Source organism: Homo sapiens, chromosome 12 (assembly GCF_000001405.40).
Source record: "Homo sapiens chromosome 12, GRCh38.p14 Primary Assembly".
Taxonomy (NCBI): Eukaryota; Metazoa; Chordata; class Mammalia; order Primates; family Hominidae; genus Homo; species Homo sapiens.
The window spans coordinates 82,095,477-82,106,386 of record NC_000012.12 but is presented as its reverse complement, the minus strand read 5'-3'; the positions used below and the strand labels follow the sequence as shown (position 1 = coordinate 82,106,386).

At 39.0% G+C, this 10,910-nt stretch overlaps 1 annotated feature.

Annotated features, from left to right (window-relative positions):
• Positions 3,004 to 4,203: an enhancer, noted in NCBI's record as "CDK7 strongly-dependent group 2 enhancer chr12:82495963-82497162 (GRCh37/hg19 assembly coordinates)". NCBI's record gives its function as "activates an origin of replication core promoter dependent on BRD2, BRD4, P300/CBP, MED14 and CDK7 cofactors, with strong dependence on CDK7, by STARR-seq in HCT116 cells {active_cell/tissue: HCT116}" and the evidence as "EXISTENCE:reporter gene assay evidence [ECO:0000049][PMID:35650434]".

The following is a 10,910-nucleotide window of genomic DNA, read 5'->3' as shown; positions in this document are numbered from 1 at the left end:
TTGTTTGACCAATATTATATGGTGGAAAAGACACTATTTCAATTCCAAACAAGGCCCTTAACTATACCAGTAGACTTCGGCTTGCTTTCTTTTTGAAGTAGGGTTGCTAATATTTTTTCAGTGTAAATGTCCTGGGTAATATTTGAAACACTTTATGCTAAAAATATTTTTTTTTGTTTTTCTTAAATTCAAATTTAAGAGGGAGTTCTGTATTGTCATTTGCTGAACATGGAAACCTTACTTGGAAGCCAACTGTCATAAGAGAAGTGTGATTACCCTGAAACCACAATGCTCTGAGAAGCCCAAGTTGAGTGGCGAGGCCTTTGAGGATGAAACGTATAGAGAAAGAGAAGTCAAGGAGCATTGAGGCACCAGCCATATAAATAAAAAACACATTTTGGAAATAGCTTCTTTAGCCCCAGCAGTCCCACTGATATGAGACTTTCCCAAACTCATGAACCACAAAAGTTGTGAACAAAATAAAATGGTTGATTTTAATCCACAAAATTGTTGGGCAGTTTGTTATGGAACAATTGATAAAATAAATCTGTATTTGAAAAACAAAATAATACAAAACAAAACCAAAACAGAATGTTTTAGTAGGTCTAATTATGTTTTTGTTGTTCTTTTGTTGTTATTCCTGCTGATTTCTTCTGAATTTGGTCATCTTTGATTATAAACTCATATTTGATTGATTTTATTTTTATTTTTATTTCTTTTTTAAAATTTTCCATAGGTTACATGAGTAAGTTCTTTGGTGGTGATCTGTGAGATTTTGGTGCACCCATTACCCAAGCAGTATACACCATAGTCTTTTATCCCTCGCCCCCCTCCCACACTTCTTCCAAGTCCCCAAAGTCCATTGTATCATTCTTATGCCTTTGCATCCTCATAGCTTTTCCCCCACATATCAGCGAGAACATACGATGTTTGCTTTTCCATTCCTGAGTTACTTCACTTAGAATAATAGTCTCCAATCTCATCCAGATTGCTGCAAATGCCATTAATTCATTCCTTTTTATGGCTGAGTAGTATTCCAGCATATATATGATGGAATATATATATATATATGATGGAATATATATATATATATATGATGGAATATATATATATATATGATGGAATATATATATATGATGGAATATATATATATGATGGAATATATATATATGATGGAATATATATATATGATGGAATATATATATGATGGACTATATATATATGATGGAATATATATATGATGGACTATATATATATGATGGAATATATATATATGATGGAATATATATATATGAGATGGAATATTTATATGATGGAATATTTATATGATGGAATATTTATATGATGGAATATATATATATGAGATGGAATATATATATGATGGAATATATATATGATGGAATATATATATGAGATGGAATATATATATGATGGAATATATATATGTGTGTATATATATGTGTGTATATATATGTGTATATATATGTGTGTGTGCATATACATATATATATATATATATATATATATATCACAGTTTCTTTATCTACTCGTTGATTGATGGGTATTTGTGTTGGTTCCACGATTTTGCAATTGCGAATTGGGCTACTATAAACATGTGTGTGCAAGTATCTTTTTCGTATAATGACTTCATGTCTTCTGGGTAGATTCCCAGTAGTGGAATTGATAGATCAAATGGTAGGTAGTTCTACTTTTAGTTATTTAAGGAAGCTCCACACTGTTTTCCACAGTGGCTGTACAAGCTTACATTCCCACCAGCAGTGTAGAAATGTTCCACACCAACATCTACTGTTTTTTTCTAATTTTTATTTTTATTTTTATTTTTTGATTATGGCCATTCTTGCAGGAGTAAGGTAGTATCACATTGTGCTTTTGATTTGCATTTCCCTGATCATTAGCGATGTTGAGCACTTTTTCACATGATTGTTGGCCATTTGTGTATGTTCTTTTGAGAATTGTCTATTCATTTCCTTAGCCCACTTTTTGATGGCATTGCTTTTTTTTTTTCTTACTGATCTGTTTGAGTTCATTGTAGACTCTGGATATTATTCCTTTGTCAGATGTATAGATTATGAAGATTTTCTCCCACTCTGTGTGTTGTCTGTTTACTCTGCTTACTGTTCCTTTTGCTGTGCAAAACCTCTTTAGTTTAATTAAGTCCCAACTATTTATTGTTGTTTTTATTGCATTTGCTTTTGGGTTCTTGATCATGAAATCTTAGCCTAAGCCAATGTCTACAAGGGTTTTTTCCAGTTGTATCTTCTAGAATTTTTATGGTTTCAGGTCTTACATTTAAGTCCTTAATCCATCTTGAGTTGATTTTTATATAAGGTGAGAGAAGAGGATCCACTTTCATTCTCCTGCATGTGACTAGCCAAATATCCCAGCACCATTTGTTGAAAAGGGTATCCCTTCTCCACTTTATGTTTTTGTTTGCTCTATTGAAGATCATTTGGCTGTAAGTATTTGGGTTCATTTCTGGGTTCTCTATTCTGTTCCATTGGTCTATGTGCCTATTTTTATACCAGTACCATGCTGTTTTGGTGAATATGGCCTTATAGTAATAGTTTGAAATCAGGTAGTGTGATGCTTCCAGATTTGTTCTTTTTGCTTAGTCTTGCTTTGGCTATGCAGGCTCTTTTTTGGTTTTATATGAATTTTAGAATTGTTTTTTCTATTTCTGTGAAGAATGATGGCGGTATTTTGATGGGAATTGCATATAGATTGCTTTTGGCAGTATGGTCATTTTTCACAATATTGATTCTACCCATCCATGAGCATGGGATGTATTTCTATTTGTTTGTGTTGTCTATGATGGAGGTGGCAGGGTGGATGTAATGAACTCTGTGAGGGTTCTTAGCTTTGGTGGTTTAATGTCCTATTTTTGGGCTGTTTGGCCTCCTGCCAGGAGGTAGCAGTTTCCAGATAGCATTAGCTGTTGTAGTATGGAGAGGAACTGGCTGTGGACGTGGCCCTAGAACTCCCAAGATTATATGCCTTTTGTCTTCAGCTACTAGGGTGGATAGGGAAGGCCCATCAGGTGGAGTCAGGACTAGGCTTTTCCAAGCTCAGAATCTCCTTGGGTGGGTCTTGCTGCATGTGCTGTGGGGGATGACAGTGAGGTTCCCAGGTCATTGGAGTTGTGTACCTAGGAGGATTATGGCTGCCTGTGCTGAGTCATGTAGGATGTCAGGGATGTGGGGGAAAGCCAGCAGTCACAGGCCTCACCCAGCTTCCACGCAAATTGAAGGGCTGGTCTCACTCCCACCGTGCCCCCCACAAAAGCCCCAAGTCTGTTTCCAGGTGGTGGACGAGCCTGGCTACCCACCTCCCAGCTGTGAAAGAAAAGGGCTTTGTTCTTCCCCCACCTGTGGAGTCTGCACACCGGATTCGGATTCGTGGCCCTCCCCTGAGTTCTTGCCAGGAGGCTTCTCGCCCGGTTCAAATTGTTACAAAGGTCAGCTAGAGAATTCCCTCTCCCTGAAGTGTTTTACCCTCTGCTCCTCTGGCCACACTACCGATGGATCCCTGTGGTACCAGGCAGGAATGATTGGCTTGGGGACCCAGCAAGCTCCAAGGGCCTTTCTTGCTGCTTCCTCTACCCTGTATTTCACTCCGCTCTATAAATTGACTCAGCTCCAGGTAAGGTCGGAAACTTCTCCGGCAAACAGACCTTCAGTTTCTCCAGTGGGGATGTATGTTTGGGAGAGTAGGATCTTCTTTTCCCACTTCTGTAGTTGGGGCAATCACAGTATTTGGGGCGTCTCCCGGGTCCTGCAGGAGCAGTCCACTTCCTTCAGAGGGTCTGTGAGTCCTCTGGGCATTCCTGGTTTGTTTTTGCAGTGGATCGGGAGCTAAAATTCAGGATGCGAGCCTTCGCACGCTGCTCTGTCCGTTCCAGTCAGAGCTGCAATATAGGCCTGCCTCCCATCCGCCATGAACTGAAATCCATGTTTGATTGACTTTAATAATCAGAATTGAAGATACTCGCCTTAGGAGAAAGGGAAATTGCATTTTGTTCTGCTGGAACCAGATTCCAGACTTAATGAAGAAATCTCAATTTCAGCTCCCTCATCTCGTCAGAGATCCAAAATTATTCTGGTCGGGCAATTATATAGACAATCCCACCTTTCACCATTGCTTACCATTAACCACTCCCTCTTCAGGTTTCAGCTCATGAGTTGGTTTTATTTCGACAGAGGAATGGTGTCTTGGAGATTTCTCCTCATTCCTATAAATTTAAAAATGTACTAAAAAGTGTTTTATCCAGAAGCGTTTGTGTTTTTTTAGTGGAGAGCCTGTCGGATATCTATCAGCCACACTGCAGGATTTCCTTGTTATTTCTTTGGAAATTTTTAAGTGGTTCCTTTGAGAGATATGGTTCTGAGGTCCTAGGGAAGCTCTTTCATTTTCTTTGAAGACCCCCATTCTGTGGCTATGGAGTAAACCCAATTCCATAGAATCAACAAGAATCCTCTCTAAGACTCAGCATAATAAGATGTTTGGGAAGAATTTTATTTCTTGAGGCTTAAAAAAAGCACTTGATGGTTGAATCTGAGATGTTCATTTGGATTTTGAAGCCTTTTGTTTGTAACAGGATTTAATCTTTGTATTTTAATTTCTTCCTTGCAATATAAAAATTAGAGAAGATATATTCCAGATTTGGAAATCTCCTGTTGGCATATTATTATTGGACTATCCTAATTTGACTTTTGCTCTTATTTCAGAATCTTAGATAGTTTATGTTGGACAACATGAGTGGACATAATTTGAAATAGGAAACAAGTGAGAGTGTACTGTTGGCTTTAGGGACAGAAAGGCCTTGCAGTTAATTCCTAGTGGAACAGGAAATGATCAATCCTCCATGATAATTAGCTTGTAAATAAGGAGAAAATCCTCAGATACAACTTGTGATGGTTCTGTGGCTTCAGTTTGGAGAGGGCACAGTTTTATACAGTTATGTAAACAACTGCAGGTTTTACAGTTTCACTCATCACATGAATTATTGGACTGTTAAGAGTATTTTGTACCATAGATAATTTCTTTGGTTTAATTAAAAGAAAAAAAAGAAGAGTAGTTGCTTGGCCAAGTAATTCATTAGCTAAAATTCTTCAAGCTGAAATCAGATCCTTGAAATTTGATTTGTATGTTAGGCTATGGGACTTTTAGATAAATCCTCTGAGTTAAGTTTTTTAAAATTCTGGAGATAAGTATAAAGATCCTTTTCCTCATCATTAAAAGCATTCTGTAAGTAGCCGTGTACACTTCATAATTATCAGTAACAGTTCTAAACTTCATTTTGGAAAGGCCAGTCATAATTCTCAAAATTTTCTCAACAAATTTAACTAATTGGTATTGAAAGTCATTTTAAAAACTTCAAGACACAAAGTCTACACTGTCCACCAATGGTCCCAGGAAGGTGCTAAAACAAGGAAAGTCTGGTAAGGGGTAGGGATGGCCTCATGAAAGAGGGAGCAGAATTACCATGATTCTTTTGTAGTTTACATCAAAGGGGACAGGTAAGCCTCTATTTAACCATAGGCTTAATGTTTAAACTCAATGGATTAAGAGAACCAATAGCTGAAAAAGATTATAGGTAGATGCTTCTGCTCCATTCTTGATAGTTCCTTCTATCTAGAGGAAGTTTCAATGGTGTATCCGTCCTACCCTCTCTCCTATCCCTCCTTACTCACTTCTCTTCATAAATATGGAATGAACTGAGGAAAAAGAAACATGCATGCATACCTTAGCTCCTCTCCCTCTCCCCCTCTAAAAATGTAGTGATTTTTAAACTTCAATGTGATTCCAAATCCCTAGAGATATTCTTAAAACAGATAGCTTGGCCCCTTGCACAGAAATTTGATTTGGCAGGTCTAGAGCAGGCCTATAAATTTGCATCTTTAAAAAATTCTCAGGTGATGCTGATGCTACTGCAACTGGTTTTTCAGTGGCAGCTTCTGAAAGGGGCAATATAAGGCTACCTTTAGCAAGGTTGGTAAGTCTGTCTAATTTTGAGTCAGTATAAGGGAGGCCTACTTGCTCACAAATAGAACTGCTCTTCCTGATTTGGGTTTTCTGCCTGCCTTACATCTTATATGTGTTTTAATTGATCAGAATTTGAGAAAAGAGTTGGGGTGCAATTTACCTCATCTTAAAACCTCAAAATGAACATAGATGCTCTCATATTGTCAATTAACATACATATCGGTTTATCTGCCTGGATTGTAGGACATTTAGAGAAGGATCATATGTTCAATAACACTGTAAAGCCAAGTGCTGTCCTTTGTTTACTTGAGTCCAATTATGATTAAATAAAAAATAGATCATATAAAAATATTGTTTGCTGGGCACAGTTATTCATGCGTGTGATTCCAGCACTTTGGGAGGCTGAGGCAGGTGGATCATTTGAACTCAGGGTTTGAGATCAGCCTGGCCAAGATGGCGAAACCCTGTCTTTACAAAAAATACAAAAAATTAGCCAGGTGTTGTGGGATGTGCCTATGGTTTCAGCGCCTATGGTTTCAACCCAGGTGTTGTGGGATGTGCCTATTGTTTCAGGAGGCTGAGGTGGGAGGATCACTTGAAACCAGGAGGTGGAGGCTACAGTGAGCTGTGATTGTGCCACTTTACTCAAGCCTGGGTGACAAAGGGAAACTCTGTCTCAAAAAATGTGCATGTGTGTGTGTGTGTGTAATTGTCACTTCCTAGCCAATAAGACATTTCATTTTCAGCTAGAATTTAGAATTTAAAAAGTTATTTTGAATAAATAAAACTCCTGATCTCTAAGGTGGACTTCAGCTGTCTGTTTTAAAGGGCTGATGCTGCTGAAATCATTATGGGATTCTCAGGAATGATGTCTAATGTTCAGTGAGTAATCTGTCTTGATATATGCTATCCCAGGAAGTTGATGTTTCAAGTTTGATTAATCATCCACTTTATTCCTTCAAGGTTTTCTATTTCATGCTGGGTGGATTACAGTCCAGTGACTACTACCTCCATCTAGCCAGCTGGTGATAATTGCTGTTAATTTCCTGGTATTTGGCAACAAGTTGTTTCTTGATGACTAGAGGGAGATATCATGAAAATGTGTCAGAAGGGAATTGCAAAAATAACATTTATTGTTTTTGCTTGATTATAAAATGTGATACATGTTCATTGCTGAAAATTTTAAAAATATAAAAAATAAATTAAAAAATAAGAATTTAAACATAATGTTTCTATTCATAGAAACCATGTGCATAATTTTAGTGAATTTCAGATCTCTCATCTATCTGTCCATAGTCTGTTTCACTATAACAAAATACCTGAGACTTGGCATTTTTTATAAAAAACAGAAATTGATTTTCTCACAGTTCCAAAGGCTGGAAGTCCAAGGTCAAGGTGCCAGCAGGTTCAATGTCCGATAAAGGCCTAGTCTCTGTGCTTCCAAGATGATACCTTGTTGCTGTGTACTCACAAGGCAGAATGTTGAAAGGGCAAAAGGGTACCTAGCTAGTTTCCTCCAGCCGTTTTATAAAAACATTAATCCATTGATGAGGGCTCTGCCTTTATGATCTAATCATTTTCCAAAGGCTGTACCTTTTAATACTGTTGCATTGGGAATTAAGTTTCAACATTGATATTGGAGGGGACATAAACCATAGCAATCGTTATATATTCTGATATAACAAACACACAACACCCACCACTGGCACTACTTCCACTGAAAAAAACTTAGCATCATTCTACTTATCCAGCTTTGTATTCTATTTTTTCTTTTAAAAAATTGACAGACCTTTTACAGGAAGTGGGTTGCTGTTGCTGGCTCTGGGAGACAGCTGAAAAACTATGAGTGCCCAAAGTGTGAAAGTGTGAAAGGGGGATCATCTGCCCCTGAACACACATCCTCACTGGGGAAACTGGAGGTCCAGATCATGGGAGAAGGATTTGACCTTACCTGGAGCTGAGATGAATTTAGAGTACTGAGTGAAATACATGGATAGAGGAAGCAGTGGAAGAGCTTGGTGGGCACTCTCGGTCCCCAGGGAAGCCATCTCTGACTTTGTCTCACAGGGGTCCTTGGAAAGGCTGCCAATAGAATTGGGGAAAGATCACAGCAAGAAGGAAACTTTCAGCTGAACTTCATGACAATTTCCACCAAATGTGAAGTTTCTTGGATAGAATCTGGGGGAGGGGGTGAACCAGGAGTGCAGACACCAGCACAGAAGCCACGACAGGGAGGGAAGCAGGAAACCTGAGAGCCCTGCTTGTTCTTTCAGCAGGGAGGCTTGTAACCTGGGGCAAGTTCTGAGCCCTGCTCACCAGCTGCCTGGAAATAAACTCAGTGCTGGTGGTGGGGGCATGGTGGGAGTGAGATTGGCCTTTCAGCCTGTGTGGGAGCTGGTTGAGGCCTGTCACTGCAGGCTTTCCCCCACTTCCCTGGTGACCTGTACAAAGCAACAGAGGCAGCCATAGTCCCCCTGGGATCATAACTTCATTGGCCTGAGAATCACACTCCCATCCCCCACAGCAGCTGCAGCGAGCCCCTCCAAGGAAAGTCTGAGCTCAGACCTGCCTAACCCTGCCCCCTCCTCAAGGTCTTCCTCTAAGCACCCTGATAGCCCAAGACAAAGGACATAATCTCTTGGAAACTCTATGGACCTGTCCACCACCTCAGAAACCCCAATACTTATCCAGGCAACCTTAGGGCAAGATTGTGTCCTCCCTAGATTACCACAGCTGGAGATCTCTTGAAAGTGCCACCTCCTGGCCAGGGGCCATAAGACACAAAATGAGCACAATAAACAAAACTTCAACCAAGGACCCTCACAGAGTCCACTTCACTCCCTTGCTACCTCCACTGGAGCAGATGCTGGCATCCACAGCTGAGAGACCTGAAGATGGGTCACATCACAGGATTCTTTGCAGACACCCCGCCCACCACCCCTGTACCAGCCCAGAGCCCAGTAGCTCCACGTGGTAGCCAGACCCAGAAGGGAAAAAACAATCACTGCACTTTGGCTCTCAGGGAGCCCCATCCCTATGGGAAGAGGGAAAGCGTGACGAAAGGGAGCACCTTGTGGGACAAAATCTGAACAGCAGCACTTGAGCCCCGGATTTTCCCTCTGACATAGTCCACCCCTAAATGAGAAGGAACCAGAAAAACAATTATGGTAATATGACAAAACAAGGTTCTTTAACACCCCCAAAAGATCACATTAGCTCACCAGCAAGGGATCCAAACCAAGATAAAAATCTTTGAATTGCTAGAAAAGGAGTTCAGAAGGTCGATTATTAAGCTAATCAAGGAGGCACCAGAGAAAGATGAAATCCAAGTTAAATAAATTTAAAAAAAAGATACAGGATATAAATGGAAAAATCTCCAATGAAAAACATAGCATAAATAAAAAACAGTCACAACTTCTGGAAATCAAGGGCACACTTAGAGAAATGCAAAATGCACTGGAAAGTCTCAGCAATAGAATCAAACAAGTAACAGAAAAACTTCAGAGCTCAAAGACCGGGCTTTCTACTTAACCCAAACCTACAATGAAAAAGAAAAAAGAATCCAACAAAATGAACAGAGCCTCCAAGAATTTTGGGATTATGTTAAATGACCAAACCTAAGAATAATTGGTGTTCCCAAGGAAGAAGAGAAATCTAAGAGTTTGAAAAATGTTTGAGGGAATAATTGAGGAAAACTGCCCTGGTCTTGCTACAGATTTAGACATCCAAATACAGGAAGCACAAAGAACACCAGGGAAATTAATCACAAAAAGATAATCACCTAGCCACATAGTCAGGTTATCTAAAGTCAAGATGAAGGCCAGAATATTAAGAGCTCTGAGGCAAAAGCATTAGGTAACCTATAAAGGAAAACCTATCAGATTAACAGCAGATTTTTCAGGGGAAACCTTACAAGCTAGAAAGGGATGAGCTCTATCTTTAGTCTCCTCAATTATCAGCCAAGAATTTTGTATCCAGTGAAACTAAGCTTCATAAATGAAGGAAAGATACAGCCTTTTTCAGCCAAACAAATGCTGAGAGAATTTGCCACTACCAAGCCAGCACTACAAGAACTGCTAACAGGAGCTCTAAATCTTGAAACAAATCCTCAAAATACATGAAAATAGAACCTCCTTAAAGCATAAATCTTGCAGGACCCATAAACCAATAACACAATGAAAAAAAAAACACCCAAGTTATTCAGGCAACAAATAGCATGATGAATAGAATAGTATCTCATACCTTAATACTAATGTTGAATGTAAATGGCCTAAATGCTCCAATTAAAAGATAGAGAATGGAGAAACAGATGATAATTCACCAACCAAGTATTTGCTGTCTTCAAGAGACTCACCTGACACACAAGGACAAACATAAACTTAAGGTAAAGGGGTGGAAAAAGATATTCCATGCAAATCAACACCAGAAGTGAGCAGGAGTAGTTATTCTTACATCAGACAAAACAAACTTTAAAGGAAAAGTAGTTAAAAACCTGGGACATTATATAATGATAAAAGGACTTGTCCAACAGGAAAATATAACTATCCTAAATATATCATATATGCACCTAACAATGGAGCTCCCAGATTTATAAAACAATTACTATTAGACCTAAGAAATCAGCCAGACAGCAACACAATAATAGTGGGGCACTCAATACTCCACTGACAGCACTAGACAGGACATCAAGACAGAAGTCAACAAAGAAACAATGGACTTAAACTATACCTTAGAACAAATGCACTTAGCAGATATTTACAGAACATTCTACCCAATAACTGCAGAATATACATTCTATTCATCAGCACATGGAACATTCTCTAGACAGATCATATGACAGGCCACAAAAGAAGCCTCAATAAATTCAAGAAAATCAAAATTACATCAACTGCTCTCTCAGATCACAG